This window comes from Homo sapiens, chromosome 9 (genome assembly GCF_000001405.40).
Source record: "Homo sapiens chromosome 9, GRCh38.p14 Primary Assembly".
In the NCBI taxonomy this organism is placed as follows: domain Eukaryota; kingdom Metazoa; phylum Chordata; class Mammalia; order Primates; family Hominidae; genus Homo; species Homo sapiens.
Window position 1 is genome coordinate 135,945,563 of NC_000009.12, and position 17,764 is coordinate 135,963,326.

Here is a 17,764-nt window from a genome sequence, read left to right on the forward strand (position 1 = left end):
TTCATTTTAGATCTGAACACAGAAGCAGGGCAAGTAACTCACACGGGAATCCTGAGAAGACTGTTAGAGGCCGTGTCCCTGCTACGAACGGGATTCACCTTGAGTTCTCATACAACGGCCCAAAGAGAATTTACACAACGACTGTTCTGTCACATTCACCCCAAAAACACTTTGGAGGCACATATTTAAGGTACCTCTTCAAAACCCCACGTTAGAAATGATTCAGTCAAAGAGTTTAGGGTAGGAGGACGTCACCCACGGTGGGAGCCCCACAAAACCAGGCCCCAGGTGTCTCCGGCAAGGGAAGGAGGTGGCCCCCCACGCACTGGTTCAGCTGAAGGGCCTTGGTGGCTCTGTTCTCCGGAAAGCCCATCTCCGTGAGCTGCCGCAGGGCAGCCTCGTCCACACGCTCATCCTCGTCCTCGTCCAGCATTGCTGCAGGGAGACGACAGGGCCATGAGGGCTCCAGCCTCAGGTTCAGGGGCCTTATCTGAGCACAAACATTTGCAGCAATTATCTGTCTGAGCTCCACCTGCCCGCCCTCAGGCACATCAACAGGAGTTGCCGGTGAGGCAGGCCCCAGGCCCTCATCAGCGCTTCCATAAAGCACTGAGGTTCCGGTCAGTGGTCAGTGCGTGGAGCTGCAGACGCTCCCCAAGGCCGGCAGTGAACCGCCCTGGAATGCAGCATCGGGGTTGACTCATACCATTCGCCTTCTTAAACAATTCCACTGCATCTGGGTTCAGCGCTAACAGCTTCTGCGCCACCTCGATGAGAGACACCAGTATCTTCCGGAGTTCTGTCTGGAACTGTGGTGAAAAAAAAGGAGATCAATTCTCTAAATGTCCACCAAACCTACTTGGATCTATGACTTGCTCCCCTGTCCTAGAACTCTTGATTCTGAGAGTTGAGATGACATTGCTTTCTTGCAAGACAGCAGGATCAGCTGAGGGCAAGGCAGGGGATTGGCAGGGCCAAGAGCCTCCCTGCAGGTGGGACTGAAGCCAGTGGAAAGGGACAGGAACGCCTGGTGACGGTCACTCAGTGCTGGCCCGATACTCAGCCTGTGCCCTGTGAGGAAACCGTCGGCCCAGCTGGCGCAGGTGCAGGGCAAGCTGAAGACCCTCTCTGGCTTCACTGAAGAAAACAGAATCATCTGAGGCTCCACCCCCATGAGTCTGCCAGCCCCCAGTGGAGGCATGGCTGCCACACAGCGTCTGCGGCGGCCATCACTGTCCTCCCCAGGCAGGAGGAGCCGTGGGATGGACCGGAGATGCCCTCCAGAACAGCTCCTGGCTACAGGGCCTAGAGGTCAGGCGTCAGCTGTCCCTACTCTCACACAAGTGTGAGCCTTGGTGCGGACACCACACTAGAGAAATACCTCTGAGCCGGACACACACAGGATGGGAGACACACATGCTGGCTGCTGGGGAAAAGCCACCATGCCCTGGTCAGCACAGAACTCTCTGGAAGACACCCCAAGAGGTTCATTCCTAAAATGAAACAGGGCTTATAGCAGTGCCCTTAGGTTGGACTGGCATCAGATGAAGTTGGAAGCCAGCCGTCCTCCCACCCCGGCACAGCACGTGCCTGCCCTGCCTGCTGCGGCGTCCACGTGAGCACTGCAAACACTTTTCTTTTTTAACTTAGAATGTTCTGACCCAAAATAACTCACGGGTTCAGATTTGTGTGTTTTTTTTTTTCTTGAGACGGAGTTTCGCTCTTGCTGCCGAGGCTGGAGTACGATGATGCAATCTCGGCTTACTGCAACCTCCGCCTCCCGGGTTCAAGTGATTCTCCTGTCTCAGCCTCCTGAATAGCTGGGATTACAGGTGCCTGCCACTACGCCCGGCTAATTTTTGGTATTTTTAGTAGAGACGGAGTTTCATCATGTTGGCCAGGCTGGTCTCGAACTTCTGACCTCAGGTGATCCACCCGCTTCGGGTTCAGAATTCTATCTAAACGTTTTGCCAAACTCAGGGCCGGATTGACGTTTTCCCAGGGGTATCTATCTTTTCAATCCTGCCTTCAGATGGCTTTCCAACTCTTACTTGGAAATAATTTTTGATTTACAGAAAAAATGCAAAATAGTGCAGTCCTACAGACCCGCTCACCGGCTTCCCCAAATCCTCCCAGAGAATCTCCTCTTGCTGCCCCGCCCCGCAGGAACCCCCCCACAGCAATCCCCCACACGGGGACCCCATGCACCCGCCGCCGCTCTGGGCTGACACTCACGTCTCTCATGTTGGTCTGGACCGCGGCCCGGTCCATGTTGTAGGAGGGCAGGTTGGCGGTGGCCCGCAGTATGGCCTCTTTATCTGGAGCTTTCTGGTCTTGTTTTTTCTACACAGAAACGTAATCAGAAAGTCTGAGGTGAACGTAAGAGCAGCAAAAAGACGATGACAACTGAATCAGCGGAGCTCTGCCCAAGAAAGACTCCGTCTCCTTTAGGAGCCAGAGGTGTAAACTCCTTGATGAGCTGGGGGAGCCTGGAGAGTTCTGTGCAAGGCCCAGGGACAGCAGACGTGTCCTCAGCGTCTGCTCTGACGTAAATAAGAGTGAAGCGGTAGGTGAGGGGCAGAGCAGGAGCAAGGGTCACAGAACGACAACCACACAGGGACCGTGGCAGGGCTGGGGCAAGGGAGGCGACTCCAGAAGAACCACCCAGGCTGCAGCTGAGCCCCGAGGCCAAAACCACGAACTCATCTCTGCTCCTTCTGGAAGCTCCTGAAGGGCAGTCATGGCAGTAGAAACTCACGAGAACAAAAGTGATGGGAGAGGAACAGAACCGGAAGAGTGACAGCACATTCTCAGAAGACGGCAGAGGACGAGGATGGAGGGATCAGCGGAGCTACAAAGGCTCAGGCCAAGAGCAGAGCATGGACGCAAGACCATTCCAGCCTCCTAGAACTGCATCGGTGGCAGGGGACAAGGAGCGAGCCTCAGGAGCTAGCGCTCCATCCCCCGCCACCCTGCCCTGTGCTCCCCTGCCATCCAGTCCTGCCGGCAACTCCCAGAGAGCTGGGCTTGAGACCCCGGGCCAGGAGCCCTAGGCTCATGAGAGGGAAAGCGGCACCCCAGCACCCTCCACAGGGAGACCCAGTGGCAGGGGAGCGGGGCAGACACAGCCAAGAGGTGGGAGGGGGCAAAATGGCAGGGTCCACACCCAAAGCGCAGTGCCCCAGCCAGCCACCCAGTCCCAAAGCGCTGCTATCAAGATCCAGGGCCTCTGGAAGGTGACACATGCCTGTAATCCCAGCACTTTGGGAGGCCAAGGTGGGTGAATTACTTGGGGTCAGGAGTTCGAGACCAGCATGGCCAACATGGTGAAACCCCATCTCTACTAAAAAGACAAAAATAAGCCCGGTGTCCTGGTGCACACCTGTAATCCCAGCTACCCGGGAGGCTGAGGCAGGAGAATCACTTGAACCTGGGAGGTGAGCTGAGATCACACCACCGCACTCAAGCCTGGGTGAGTGACAGTGAGACACCATCTCAAAAAAAAAAAAAAAGGAACAACAGAAAGCAGCACAAAGTGAGGAGTCAGCAGGGAAGAGGATAGTGTTTATGAGCCAGGACAGACGGCCCACGGAGGAACACACCAGAACACTAGAAGACATCATCTGAGGAGGAGAACTGGCCTAGGAATTTAAACATGTTACAGCCAGATCAAAGAGGCTACAGAATGCTTAGAAGATAAAATCAAGGAATCCCTCAGAAAACACGCCTACCAGCCAACTCATAAGAGTTACAGAAAGAGAAAAGAAAACAAGGAGATCAAAAAACCAATTCAGAACATTTTCCAGGACTAAATTTCCCAGAACTCAAACATCTGAATCTCCAGAGTCAATGTGCCGGACATAGCAAAGAGAAAAAGACCTGCAGCAGAGACACCATGGAATATTCCAGAACACTAAAGCACACCAGATGGCAGAAGGTTCTACAAGGAGCAGAGGAAGGGGAGGCGGCTGGTGCAGGGAGGAGCGGCTCAGAGCTGCCTCACGTACTGCATACGGCTGGCACCCCCTCCACAGCTGCTGCGCTGGAATACGAGGCCTCCAGACAGTTTCCCCTCCTGGCACCCGAGGAAGTCAGGCTCCACCAGACCAAGGGACAGATCGAGAAGAACAAGACACCTGGTCCTGCGGCAGGCAGAACTCGAGGACGGCCGCACGCTCCCCGGGCCTGGCAGTTGCCCGTGCGTGGCTGCACAGCATGAGCAGGACACAGTCCACTCTGGGGTCAGGTTACATCACGCGGCACAGCCGACTGTGGGGAAAGAGTATGATCCTTGGTGGGCCTCAACTAATCAGGCAGGTCCTTAAAAGGGATGGGTCTCTTTCTGGAAAGAGAGATTCAACACTTCAGAAGTCCTGTTGCTGGCTCTGAAGGAGGAGGAGGCTGTGCGGGTAGGAATGCAGGCCGCGCCCAGGCCCTGAGAGCAGCCCCCAGCTGGCCGCCAGCAAGAAAATGGGTCGGAACTGGACTCTGCCAACCGCCGGAAGACCTCAGAAGCAGAATCTTCCCCAGCCTCAGAAAGGAAGGCAGCCCTTCAGCACCCTGAACACAGCCCTCCGGCACCCTGATTTCAGCTCGAGACCCTGAGCACAGAAACCAGCTGAGCTCACCCAGCCAGACTTCTGCCCTACAGAACTGCGAGCTACAAGCGGAGTGCTGTTTTAAGCAGCTACATGTGTGGCGATTTGTTAGGTGGCAACGGAAAACTTGCATAGACTTAGCAAACTCTAACACGGGAAAGAGGCAGGAAAGCCAGGCTGTGCAGCAGGCCTGGAAGGCAGCGACTCAGACAGATGCGCAGGCCAGAGGGATCTGGAGGGAGGGAACACCCCAGTGACCTAACATCTGTGACCACGTTTCCAGAAGCTTTATCGGCTCTGTGGAAGAGCATGAAAAAATCAGCGATAAGCCTATAAGAAACTCAACAAGCAAACAAAAGGAAGAGGCAAATATTAATTCCAGGAAAAATACAGCTGTGTAAGAAGGATAGATAATCTTAATCTATTTTGCTCACAGCTGAAAACCACACTTCAATTATACTAGTAATGAAAACCCTGAGATCTTCAACATTATGATCTAACCCTCAAGGGAGGAGAGAGGGAGGTACTATAGCCTCTTCATTAAGAAGTCAATAGAGACTAAAGTTGGTCATTCAAGGAATAATAATATACACATATTATTTATAAATCAGGAAGAGAATTGTTAAAAATAACAAGAGTTATGAGTGGTTGGGCCGGGCATGGTGGTTCACGCCTGTAATCCCAACACTTGGGAGACCAAGGTGAACAGACCACCTGAGCCCAGGAGTTCAAGACCAGCCTGGGCAACACGGTGAGACCCCATGTCTACAAAAAATACAAAAATTAGTCAGGTGTGGTGGCACACACCTATAGTCCCAGCTGCTTTACTCCTGGGGCTAAGGGAGAAGGATCACTTAAGCCCAGGAGGCAGAGGCTGCAGTGAGGTGAGATCGTACCACACACTCCAGCCTGGTGTGCACTGCCTGGCTTGTGCCAACAAGCCTAACTAACTTTTTATATTTTTTGTAGAGACAGGGTTTCATCATGCTGCCCAGGCTGGTCTCAAATTCCTGGACTCAAGTGATCCTCCCACCTCAGCCTCCCAAAGTGCTGGGACTACAGGCGTGGGCCACCGCACCCAGCCAAGACTGCTAATTTTTATTAAAAGATTTGTAGTATTATTCGACCTTTTAAAAACATACGTCACTTTGACTTAAAAATTAATTCATAAATACAAAAATTATCTGGGTGTGGTGGCACACACCTGTGGTCCCAGCTACTCGGGAGGCTGAGGCAGGAGGACTGCTTGAGCCCAGGAGGTCAAGGTTGCAGTGAGTTATAATTGTACCACTGCACTGCAGCCTGGGCAACAGAGTGAGATCCTGTCTCTAAAACAAAAACAAAAACTAAATTAAAAATTAATGTAGGCCAGGCGCAATGGCTCATGCCTGTAATCCTAGCACTTTGGGAGGCCGAGGCAGGTGGATCACCCGAGGTCAGGAGATCGAGACCAGCCTGGCCAACATGGTGAAACCCCATCTCTACTAAAAATACAAAAGATTAGCCGGGCGTGGTGGCACGCACTTGTAACCCCAGCTACTTGGGAGGCTGAGGCAGGAGAATCGTTTGAACCTGGAAGGCGGAGGTTGCAGTGAGCTGAGATCACGCCACTGCACTCTAGCTTGGGTAACAAAAGCGAAACTCTGTCTCAAAAATAATAAAATAATAATAAAAATAATAATAATTAATTCATAAAAATATGAACTGACATCTTACAATGTTTCAGTTTGCAAATATTTGAAGAGAAAAGGTAAGCTCCTCAGGTTAGCTCCAAGCTACCCATCCAAGAGGCTGTGGGGCAACGGGTGTATGGTCAGACCCCGCTGTTTATATTAGTTACGGGCCTGTAAGTCTGAACACCAACGGTCAAACTGTAATCTGAGAACTGTGAATGCTGCCTGCAGCAGTTCCCAGAAACAGGCCTGACTCAGGGACAGGCGGAGGCAGGCCCAGATCTGTCCGCTGCAGATGGGTGGGGCGGCAGCCTGTGTGTCACTCATGCGTGGCCAGGTGTGGCTGAAGATAAGGAGGGGACCCAAGCCCAGGGTGCTCTTCCTGGGTACCCATGGTCCCAGATGAAACCCAAAAATAGCTTATGCACTACCAGGCATGGGCCTAGCCCAAAAGAGTTTGACCTGCTCTTTCTCTGGGGTGAACACTCTCCTTAGCCTTTCAAAGCACGAGTAAGAAATTCTACCCTTGAGATGAGTAATGCAAAGACAGCAGAGGAAAGTGGCTGCCCTTCTAGCTGGCAGGCTCCATGCTCGGCACGGGCTCAGGCCCTGCTGTGGGGTAGGACACGCCACTTGCAGAACGCATCTTCCTCTGCTCAGTGAGCTTTCCAAAACATGAGCTTCTAGGGCAGCCAGTAAACAACACACTGCACGGTGTTCCTAAGGTACACGTGCAAGTGGACGGTGCAGACCATGAATCAATAACGTGTGAGTGAATGTAAACACCAACGACATCCAGTTCTGTTTTGCAAGAAATAGACAAGACAGGCAGAACTCAGCCTCTCTCAGCATTAACAGTGCAGCTGAGTATCCCTCATCTGAAATGCCCGGGACCAGAACTGTTTCGGATTTCGGGTTTTTTCAGATTTGGGAATATTTGCATTCCAAATAATCAACTCAAAAAGCACCAACGAGCACTTCCATTAAGTGTCATTTTGGCACTCAAAAAGTTTCAGACTGCGCTGCATTTCTGCGTTTGGATTTTCCGATGGGGATGCTGAGGCTGTGCGGTGTGAGGTGGGGCTTGTCGCGAGTGCTCCCTCACCGGCCACTCTCTGCATGCGCAGCCCTTATTCTGTGTGGTGGTTGGTTACCCACTTTCCTCCGTTTTTCTGTCAGGACTGACTTGGCTGCTTGAAAAGAGGAGGGAACAGGAGCACACGCAGGTGAAGGCGGACAGCAGCGCGGGAGTGAACCGTCACGCAGGATGTGTCCCTACCCTCCTCTCTGTCTCAGAAAACTCAGAGGCAGGTTTTCCGTGCTGGTCCCGTGAGCAGGGAGGGACCAGGACTGACACGGATTAAACAGGCTCTGCCGGGAGAGAGAACCCCTTATAACCACATCTACTGTAAATGGCGAATGCGTGGGTTGGTGAACAACTAGTATAGAGAACTTCTTTATAATTCTTTTTTTTTTAAGTTTGTATTTATTTATTTAATTTTGAGATGGAGTCTTACTCTGTCGCCAGGCTGGAGTGCAGTGGCACGATCTCGGCTCACTGCAACCTCTGCCTCCCGGGTTCAAGAGATTCTCCTGCCTCAGCCTCCTGAGCTGCTGGGACTACAGGCATGAGCCACCATGCCCAGCTAATTTTTTTTGTATTTTTAGTAGAGCCGGGGTTTCACCATATTTGCCAGGATGGTCTTGATCTCTTGACCTCGTGATCCACCCGCCTCGGCCTCCCAAAGTGCTGGGATTACAGGCGCGAGCCACTGTACCCAGCCTGTAATTCTTAAATGTAGACTTCTACCAACCAAGGTCCCCAATTGCAAACTTTGAAATTTACCTTTTCTTCTGCTGAGACATCAGCCATCTTGGGAAGTGGTGATGGAGCACGCTTTTTTATCAATAATAGGACATCTAGAAAAAACAACACGTATATCCAACACACTGGTTATCACTTCATATCCACAAAATGGCATAAAGGGTGCTGGATGCCCTGAGAACAGAACAGCAGGGATTCGGCCGGGCGCAGTGGCTCCCATCTGTAATCCCAGCACTTTGGGAGGCTGAGGCGGGCAAATTACCTGAGGTCAGGTGTTCAAGACAAGCCTGGCCAACACGGTGAAACCCCATCTCTACTAAAAATACAAAAATTAGCCAGGCGTGGTGGCGCATGCCTGTAATCCCAGCTACTGGGGAGGCTGAGGCAGGAGAATCACTTGAACCTGGGAGGCGGAGGTTGCACTGAGCCAAGATTGCACCACTGCACTCCAGCCTGGGCAACAGAGCAAGACTTCATCTTAAAAAAAAAAAAAAAAAAGAAGAAGAGCAGGGCTTCAGCTGGGTGCAGTGGCTCACTCCTGTAATCCCAGCACGAGGCAGGCGGATCACTTGAGCCCAGGAGTTCAAGACCAGCCTGGACAACATGGCGAGACCCCATCTCTACGAAAATATAAAAAATAGTTGCGCATGGTGGCACATGCCCGTAGTCCCAGCTACTTGGGAGACTGAGGTGGGAGGACTGCTTGAGCCCAGGAGGTCAAGGCAACAGTGAGCCTGACTGTGCCTCTGCACTCCAGCCTGGGTGACTGAGCGACACCCTGTCTCAAAAGAGCATGGGTTCCTTTGGTCCCCCCAAACCAAGCATCTACACCAGCCTTCCCTCACTTTTGCATGATATCTGCATGGCCCTAGCTGAGGTACAAGCTCCCAGGCCTGGCACGAACCCCCAGGTGACCCATGGCCCAGGAGGCAGGCACAGCACGGCCCCAATAATTGTGCAAAGAATTGGTGACAATCCTGCAACAGGCATTTTAACCGGCTCAGTTCTGAAAAAGTCTGTGAGGGTGGAGAGTTTAGTCTTAACCCTCAGAGGTCAAAACCTGAGATGCAGCTCATCCTCGGCCCACGACGGTGCCCATCCCCCACTGGCTTGGAGCTTGATGGTCATCTCAGCGGATATCTGTTAGCAATACTTCCAGGATTTTCAAAACAGCTTACTTCAAGGACTTCCACAATTAAAGGCATTATTTGAATGACACAGACAAAACTGATGTCTGCTCTTCAAGTGCCTCCAGACACAAAACCATAAGCAATTACATGGATGTGTGTGTCTAACACTGCACTGGGATGCCAACATCACCACAACGAAGGTGAAACCTGCAGAACCCCTGGAGTCTCTGGCTTTGCTCTGAAACAGAACTAAAAGCAAAATTCACATTTGGCTTCTCAAATGCCTGCTGCTTGTTCAATTTCAATTTCTGCTGTTTTTCACAAATACTCTATAACAGAACTCTTTTTAATAAAGGAAAAACAGAATGCTTTTAGTCGATCTCGTTTTTGTGCTCGTGTCCAGCTCAGAACACTGACTCCTGTGGGTGGACCACCCCCTCCTGGCTCCAGCGCCCCCAGCAGTGCACGATGCCTGCTGCCAACCCGCCCGCCCACAGCAGCCTTACCTTGGTCCTGGATGTTCTCTTCCAGGATGGTCCTGGCATCACTCAGCACCCTCTCTGAGGCAGCGTGGATTAATTTATGATGGGTTATACTTTTGGGATCTTCTAAGCTCCCATGAGCACACTGGGGAAAAATAGAAATTTCAAGGTAGAAAATAAGTAAATCGTAATTCTAATAATATAGGACCTGGCATCCCAAGCTACACCAGGAATTTACTGGGTTTTCTTATGAGCTAAGAAATTACACCATGGATGAAATTAAAGAATTCCCACTAATGGTAGATGCCAAATGAAGCATCATAGCACCAGTGAGCTGATCCCCAGCCCATGGAGTACTCCTGAAGCAAGCTCCCAGCTCTGATATACCACACCCTACTGACAATTCGCGGCCACCAGAATTGCTTCTTTGGTCTAGAAAGATCTGGAAAATAATTTTAAATGAAAACAGCAGATCCATTGTTTCCTGATGACCTAAAGATCTACCTAAGTTTTGGGTAGCTGTTTTTCTTTTTTCCACAGACGCATGAAAGGGGCCAGAAAGGCTGCCCAGAAAGAAGACTGGCTCACAGAGAGCCTGAGATGGGGATAAGAGGAGCGCTCGGCATGACTGCTCTCAGCTTGGCTCAGCTCACTAAGTAACAGCCATGCTGCATCCCGAGATTGGGATAAGAGGGGCACTTAGCATGACTGCTCTCGGCGTGGCCCAGCTCACGAAGCAACAGCCATGCTGCACCCCTGGGCGGCTTGAAGGTGGACCAATGGGCACGCAGTCACCAGGGCCCTGGAAACCCTGCCACACCCGGGCAGGGAACGGGAGGCAACACATGGGTAGCAGTGAGGGGATCCCCTTCACACACACCACAGCCACCTCCGAGCAGCGCTCACGGGGGACCTGGGAAGCCATCTTGACAGCTACTGAGTGCAAACTCCAGGAGGAAGTTGGAGCAGACGGCCATGACCCCTTCCAACCCTGCCATTACAAAGATCTCACAGCCAACTGCTGGCAGGGGTAGATCCTGCTCCTCAATTCGGCCAGCATCCTCTCTGCAAAACAGCACACAGCTGTCCCTGATTCATGCACGTGGCACTGGCTTGCGGGAGTCCTGCTTTCCTTTGAACACGGGGGCTAGGCGCGTCGGCTCACCATTTTGTGAAGAATGGCAAACACTGATGGTGCCGTGTGATGAAGACTGAGGTCGGCACATGTGCCTGCATGTTCGTGCCCAAGTCGGTCCAGAGCTCCACGACTCCACTCTATTATCTACCTCAGCACCATACAGCCCGACACACGACAGCACAGCACAGCACACCACCGCACAGCACAGCACCGCACACCACACCAAACAGTGCCCACCTAACCAAATATGGCGCCTCCCCAGCCGGAATCGTGGGGTGAGAGGAGAGGGGCTGCACTTCTGTGTTTCACAAAATACCCACAGTTTCCATAGCCTGGCCTGAAAACCCTTCAGAACTCAGAGCTTGGACGGAGAGAAGGCTGACTATTTTCTTGCTCTTACAGATCCCCTGAGGTTTGATGGTAGAATTACCTGACTATCAGAAAAGGATGAAACCCTCACTGGGCACTTTCTAAACCCGGTAGCAGGCTCAGCCTGTGGGTCAGGAGCATGGCCCAGCCTGGAGCTGGGCCGGGGCACCACCCCAGGACAGGCCGTCCTCGGACGTCTCAGGTGGCCGGGCAGACGCCCTGCTGGCAGCTCACTTTCCACCACCCTTTGCTGCCACAGAGGCTCTGAAACACCCAGCACACACAACTGCTTGCTGGGAAAGAAAATCTAAGCACACACTTCACCTCTCAACACTGGCATTTTCAGAGTAACTGGAATTTCTGTTACTCTCAAGACTGAAAACGGTTTTGAAAAAGGGATTGACGGCTTCAGGGGCTCACTCCTTCACACAAAACTGGCCAGGCTGAGGGGATGTTGGGGGGACGCAGCTACTAGGAAGACACACTCCTGCCATTTACAACAGGGCAGAGAACCCTCAAGTGCCTCTGGATTTGACAATGGCTCTGCTCCCTGAAATACTGGGGGTGCTTCCTCATGATCCTAAAGTTTGCAGGCTAGTTCATTTGTCAAGTTCAGAATACAGACTACGAAATGCAGTTTTCCAAAATAATTCTCATACTGATTCCCAAAAAACCCACAGTCCACGTGTCACCAGCACACCAGGAACAACACGGAAGCACTAGGACGACCGTGTCACTCTGCTTCTTTGTTCTCGGCAGAAGCTGGGGTATGGCAGCAAAAAAGCCCCAACCAAGGCCGCTGGAGTAGGGAGGCCCTCACACCCCCACCCCACTCCATCCTGCTCCTCCCCAGAAGAGTAGTGACTTCGTTTCTGCTTGTACCTGATGCAACCTGCCATCTGAGGACCCATCTTCATGCGATCTAGGAAATGGAAAATTTAACAGCTATACTAGCGGGTACTCTCTTCTAGTCTGGCAATTTTATGAACTCCTTCTTTTTTTTTTTTTTTTTTTAAAGACAGGGTCTCATTCTGTCACCCAGGCTGGAGTGCAGTGGCGCGATCTCCGCTTATTGCAACCTCCGCTTCCCAGGTTCAAGCGATTCTTGTGCCTCAGCCTCCTGAGTAGGTGGGATTACAGGAGTCCGCGACCATGCCAGGCTATTTTTTTACATTTTTAGTACAGAAGGGGTATTGCCATGTTGGCCAGGCTGGAATTTCATGAATGTTTACGACACACCAAAAACTCTACTGCACCACAGGTATAATTTTCTTTTTTTTTTTTTTTGAGACGGAGTCTCTCTCCGTCGCCCAGGCTGGAGTGCAGTGGCTTGATCTCGGCTCACTGCAAGTCCCACCTCCCAGGTTCACACCATTCTCCTGTCTCAGCCTCCCGAGTAGCTGGGACTACAGGTGCCCGCCACCACGCCCGGCTAATTTTTCTGTATTTTTAGTAAAGATGGGGTTTCACTGTGTTAGCCAGAATGGTCTCGATCTCCTGACCTTGTGATCTGCCTGTCTTGGCCTCCCAAAGTACTGGGATTACAGGCATGAGCCACCGTGCTCAGCCAGGTATAATTTTCTAAAACTCATTAACTACCTGTTGTACAAGACAGGTTCCTCTGCCCCCTTCTCCACTCCAGGGCAATGGAAGCTAGAGGCCACCACGGTGATCCCAATTTGCACAAAACAGAAAAGGGAAAGGCAAAAGCAAGAGTTTTGATCATAAAACCCCTCCTTGATTCAGGAGTGCACACCCAGGAGCACAGCAGGGAGAAGCCGACATCATTCCCCTCCAGGCAGATGGAAAAGAGGAAGGAAAAAATCATGCCGGCGTCAGCACGCACTGGGGACCTGGCGAGGAGGAACAAAGCTAAAACAGACACCAGACCTCACTGCCTACAGCAGGATGACATCCAGGGACCGGCTTCCAGAGAGACATTCAAATACACAACTCGAGGGTTCTCTTTTCTGACTAACGCATTCTGGCCCTGCCTGCAGAACCACGCTGGGATGTGGTGGTGGGGAACCTTTCTGACGCTCAGCTCTGGAGTCCTGAAATGTATGTCGGCTCTTGCGGTGTGAAAATCCCCTGCTACTCAGATCCTCCACACCTGTGGAAACCGCAGAGTGGGATACAATCTCAATTTAAAGTAGAATAATGACAAAACATCCCAAATGATACATCTCAACACCAAATGGAATAATATATATCAGGAGTATAATAATTAGCATTGCATCGGAACTGGCTGCCTAACTGACCCTCCGTGCTCCTGAAATTCATGAGTAGGTATCTGTGGATCAAACAGCTCTCATTTCCTATTTCCTTTCATAAAAGAGTATCATGATGGCCATGCACATCGCACCGAGTGAGTTAAAGTAAATGCCGTGCCAACGCAGGGGACATCCCATGTCGATGCAGTGTGGGGTCCACAGGATATTTTTGTCTATTCCATTAACCCACAAGTTTGTTTTGGTGCCACTCTAAGCCCGGCCCTGGACTTGTGGATATAAACCGAACCCCTGAGGAGCTTCTGTACTGGCTCAGGGAGGACACAGCAGCACCTCAGAGAAGTTTCTAGGGTTTTTTGTCTGGTTTTTTTTTTTTTTTTTTTTTGAGACGGAGTCTTGCTCTGTCGCCAGGCTGGAGTGCAGTGGCGCGATCTCATCTCACTGCAACCTCCGCCTCCCGGGTTCAAGCGATTACCCTGCCTCAGCCTCCCAAGTAGCTGGGATTACAGGCACACACCACCACGCCCCGCTAATTTTTTGTATTTTAGTTGAGACGGGGTTTCACCATGTTGGCCAAGATGGCCTCAATCTCCTGACCTCATAATCCGCCCACCTCGGCCTCCCAAAGTGCTGGGATTACAAGTGTGAGTTACCGTGCCCGGCCCAGAGAAGTTTTTTAAAATACACACAACTAGACAAGCAACACCACCTGGCTCAAACAGCCTGGATGCCCACGGAGTTACCGGCGCTGGAGCTTAGTGATGCCCCGATGGTTGTTCAGACGGCAAAATCATGCAGACTGGGGCAGAAGAAAAGCAAGAAAGCAGCCAAAACATACCGGCCCTTGAACGCAGGAGGCTCAGCCCCCTCCTTGGTGTGAATCCTGAGGCCAGCACCTCCCAGTTATTCACAGCCAGTGCGTTCCAGAAGGGGGCTTGCCAAGCTTGCCTCTGACAGTTCCAGAACTCCACAGAACCATGCTCACAAAAGCAACTCGAAAGTACTGTATGCGAGCAGCTACTATGGTAAGAACTGAAGTTTATCCTTAGAGACCACACTCAGCTCAAGTGTAACGCACTCAACCTGTCAACACAGATACGTCGTAACTTATCACATGGAGTCGCCACTAGAAAATTGCAGCCTCCTTCAACCTAAATTCTGCCAAGCCCTCAGATCATGTCAGGTATAGACAGGAGGTCAGTCTGACACACAGACAGGCTTCTTAGCTGACCTTACTGAGTCCTTTAGAGACTCGAGAACTAGTTCCAAAAATCAGCAACCTAAGGAACTAAATACACAGGAGTATTTCAGGTGAATAAACTTTAAAAAGTGTCTCCGCGAGGAGACCCTACTCCTGGGACTTCTCTCTTGACCAATTTTACCTCTGCAGAAAAGCAGGGGCGCAGGGCCTTGTCCCGCAGCGGCACTATTTCAGGGACTCCAGCTAAAAGGCACAGTGGCCTGGGGCCAGCCAGGAAAAGAGCTCCAAGCAGCCGGCTCTGCGGGAAAGGGGAAGAGGAAGGAGAAGGGGCCTCTTCATGAAGGAGCCTACGTTAATTCTCAGCTCTCAAAGATGCTGCTGAAAAAAAACCTCACCCCAACAGCAAAAAGGTACAACTGCCGGAAAGTCCCGAGGCCCTGCTCCGTCGGCGACTTCACTCTCCAGGCCTCAGTTTCCCGATCTGCCCCTACCTCCCTGCGTGGCTGCAGAGTTAACTGAGAGGCTGGCGTGTACAGGGCTCGGCCGGGCGGCTGGCACGGGGCGAGCGCTTAGTGACCGGAGTCCGCCGGCCGAAAGGCCAGGCCCGGGACGAGCGTCCAGAGGTGTGGGATCCGAAAGGGGGAGAGTCGGGCAAACGGGCAGGAGGCGCTGCCTCCACCCCCGGAGGAGAGGGCCTGGGAGCTGCGGACTGGGCGGCGGACCCCAGGTCGGGGCGGTTCGGGGACTGAGGCGGGGTCCGCAGTCGGAGGGGTCCGGAGCGGGTGTTGGGGGCAGGGGAGGGGGCCCGGCCTTACGTGCTTGAGGCAGCGCTCCTTGAGCTTCTCCACCGAGGTGTCCTCGGTGGCCTCCTCCAGCCACTCGGCGCCGTCGGACGCGCAGATGTGCAGCCGCAGCACCTTGCCCGCGAAGATCTTCTCCTCCTGCACGAACATCCCGCCGCCGCCGCAGGGGCCTGCGCCCGCCACCCGGGCCCCTGAAGGTCACCGGGAAGGCGGGCGGGGAGGGGGCGGGGCCAGACCGCCCGCGCGCTCCTTCGCTGGGCCGCCGCCCCGCCCCGGCTCCCGTCGGCCGGGCCGCCGTCACTCTCCGCGGCCTCAGCGGTCGCCTCGCTCCCGCCGCCGCAGCAGCCGCCGGGGGCGCGCCGTCGCGGCCGCACCGGAAGTGCGTCACGGGCGCGTCTGGCGCATGCCGGGAGATGTGGTTCTCGGACAGGCGCCTCGCTCCCGCCGCCGGGGGCGCGCTGTGGCCACCGCAAAGGAAGTGCGTCACGGGGCGCGCCCGGAGCATGCCGGGAGCTGTAGTTCTCTGGTAGCTTCGTTCCTCCCCGAGCTGCAGGCGGTTCCCACCCGGGGCACTCACCACGTGGGACCTCATGGGTTCTAAAGGTAAAATACACGCTGGATCCCAAAGAAGTAACGGGAAAAAGGAATGTAAGGCATCTCGATAATGTTTTCATATTGATTACATGTTGAAATAATATTTTGTATCTATTGAGTTAAGAAAAATATGTCATTAAAATTAATTTCACCTGTTTCTTTTAACCTTTTTAAGATAGAATTTTAAATTGCCTACATGGCTGCTGTGATATTTCTTTTGCACTGCACTGCTGTAGAACGGAGGCTCTCCAAAGAACTTGGCTTTAACAAGCCTAGGTCTTTCTAATTCACACGCAGATCAGAGAGTCACTGTTCCTGCGAAGCCTAGGTTTGCGGGGCACCCAGAGGGGAGGGAAGCCGCCCTTGGTGCAGGTGATGCCAGGCAGACTCATTTTCTGTGGGGTGTGACAAAGAGTCTTTGCTTGGCCAAACTTAAGCAGGCTCCTGAACCTTCTACATCATCTGTACACTTCCTTGTAAAATCCAGTTTTAGCGAAGAGCCTTGATAAGTGAGTTTAGCAAGAACTCCCAGCCTCAATATCAGATCACCCTGGACGTCTGGTCAGGTTCCTCGTCCCCCAGGTGCTGTCTGATATCTCCAGCCTCTCTTCAGCAAGAACCCTGTCAGGTCGGTTTAGCCAGAACCGCCCACATCCCTGATGTTTTCTCCTATTAATTTTCCATTCACTGACCCCACCCACTTGCCCTTGCTGTATTGGGAGTTGAGCCTGACCTCTCTCCCCACTGCAAGCCCCCTTGGCAGTGGTCTCTGTACCTAGCTCAACAGTCCTGGATAACGTCTTACTTACCATGCTCCTAAATATGAATTTTGTAGTTCAGGTTAGACCTGACACATTGACTGATCTGTACTCATTCATCCCATTCATTTAAAAAAACTTTACTGCGCAGAGATGAATAAGGCACAGTTCCCGTTCTCAGAGGTTAGCAATCTAACCGGGGAGGCTGTCTCTGCCTCCTGCCTGCAGGCTTTTATTCTGTCCACACCATTTTGCACACACATCCTCATTTTTCTCCTGTGATAATTCCAACCTCGTCCAGATTCCATGTGTCCAGTTCAGCACTTACTAATTGCCTCTCACAGGTGGGAGCCTCTGCTACTCAATGAAAATATGGTAGTGATTAAGACCAGACACCAGGATACAGTCCTGGAATGGGGCATTTTTAACGCAGGAAGCAGAAGTACCGACTGTTAGAGACCGCAGTGGAGGTGGTGGTAGTATCGTGGAAGCTGGTGGAGGAGAAAGGGGAGGAACACCAAGGTGGTGAGTGGAGAGTGGGGGAAGCTAGAGGGCTTGGAGGAGCCGGGTCAGAGCATTAAGACGTTGCTGTGAGAGCCACTAACGGTGTGACCAGGTGGCAGAATGAATGGTGGTGACTGTGGAGGGGACAGGGAAGAGGGCAGGGCATCCTTGCGGGGGAGCAATGCGGAGGGAGAGGAAGAGGAGAAGGGGGCTTCCAGTGGCCTGTGGGAGGGGAGGCCAGCAGGATTGGAGGGTGTGGGCCCAAGAGTGAAATCAAGGATGACTTGAAGACTTCCAGTGTGGGTGGCAGAGTGCAGGGCAGTGCCACCTTTTGAAGTAGGAGGCAGGAGGAGGAGCCATTGGCCAGGAAGGTGTTGGGTAGTTTTGGACACGGGGACCTGGATGTGCTGGGGGCATTCACACGGAGGTGGCCTGGAGGCAGCTGGACCTACAGGACT

General features: G+C 52.6%; 1 protein-coding gene across 1 annotated transcript in view, besides 6 other annotated features; it reads right to left on the reverse strand.

The window, feature by feature from the left end:
* Positions 1 to 15,811, reverse strand: part of UBAC1 (UBA domain containing 1) — a 28,405-nt gene extending 12,594 nt beyond the window's left edge. Inside the window, exons 1-6 of the mRNA NM_016172.3 lie at positions 15,463 to 15,811; positions 9,733 to 9,853; positions 8,118 to 8,191; positions 2,236 to 2,343; positions 707 to 809; positions 327 to 435 (exon numbers count right to left, since the gene is read on the reverse strand). Of these exons, the coding sequence (NP_057256.2) occupies positions 327 to 435; positions 707 to 809; positions 2,236 to 2,343; positions 8,118 to 8,191; positions 9,733 to 9,853; positions 15,463 to 15,600 (653 nt within the window). The 5' untranslated portion in view covers positions 15,601 to 15,811. The remainder of the gene's footprint in view (positions 1 to 326; positions 436 to 706; positions 810 to 2,235; positions 2,344 to 8,117; positions 8,192 to 9,732; positions 9,854 to 15,462) is intronic.
* Positions 1,092 to 2,291: an enhancer, noted in NCBI's record as "MED14-independent group 3 enhancer chr9:138838500-138839699 (GRCh37/hg19 assembly coordinates)". NCBI's record gives its function as "activates an origin of replication core promoter dependent on BRD2, BRD4, P300/CBP and CDK7 cofactors, and independent of MED14, by STARR-seq in HCT116 cells {active_cell/tissue: HCT116}" and the evidence as "EXISTENCE:reporter gene assay evidence [ECO:0000049][PMID:35650434]".
* Positions 4,772 to 5,055: a silencer, noted in NCBI's record as "fragment chr9:138842180-138842463 (GRCh37/hg19 assembly coordinates)". NCBI's record gives its function as "represses an EF-1alpha promoter that drives an FKBP-Casp9 reporter gene in an ReSE screen in HepG2 liver carcinoma cells {active_cell/tissue: HepG2}" and the evidence as "EXISTENCE:reporter gene assay evidence [ECO:0000049][PMID:32094911]".
* Positions 15,421 to 15,540: a silencer, noted in NCBI's record as "silent region_20493". NCBI's record gives its function as "represses an Ori minimal core promoter by ATAC-STARR-seq in GM12878 lymphoblastoid cells {active_cell/tissue: GM12878}" and the evidence as "EXISTENCE:reporter gene assay evidence [ECO:0000049][PMID:35858748]".
* Positions 15,421 to 15,960: a biological region, named in NCBI's record as "H3K27ac hESC enhancer GRCh37_chr9:138852839-138853339".
* Positions 15,431 to 15,931: an enhancer, noted in NCBI's record as "H3K27ac hESC enhancer chr9:138852839-138853339 (GRCh37/hg19 assembly coordinates)". NCBI's record gives its function as "activates a minimal SCP1, AML or CMV promoter by ChIP-STARR-seq in primed H9 embryonic stem cells {active_cell/tissue: H9 hESC(primed)}" and the evidence as "EXISTENCE:reporter gene assay evidence [ECO:0000049][PMID:30033119]".
* Positions 15,551 to 15,960: a silencer, noted in NCBI's record as "silent region_20494". NCBI's record gives its function as "represses an Ori minimal core promoter by ATAC-STARR-seq in GM12878 lymphoblastoid cells {active_cell/tissue: GM12878}" and the evidence as "EXISTENCE:reporter gene assay evidence [ECO:0000049][PMID:35858748]".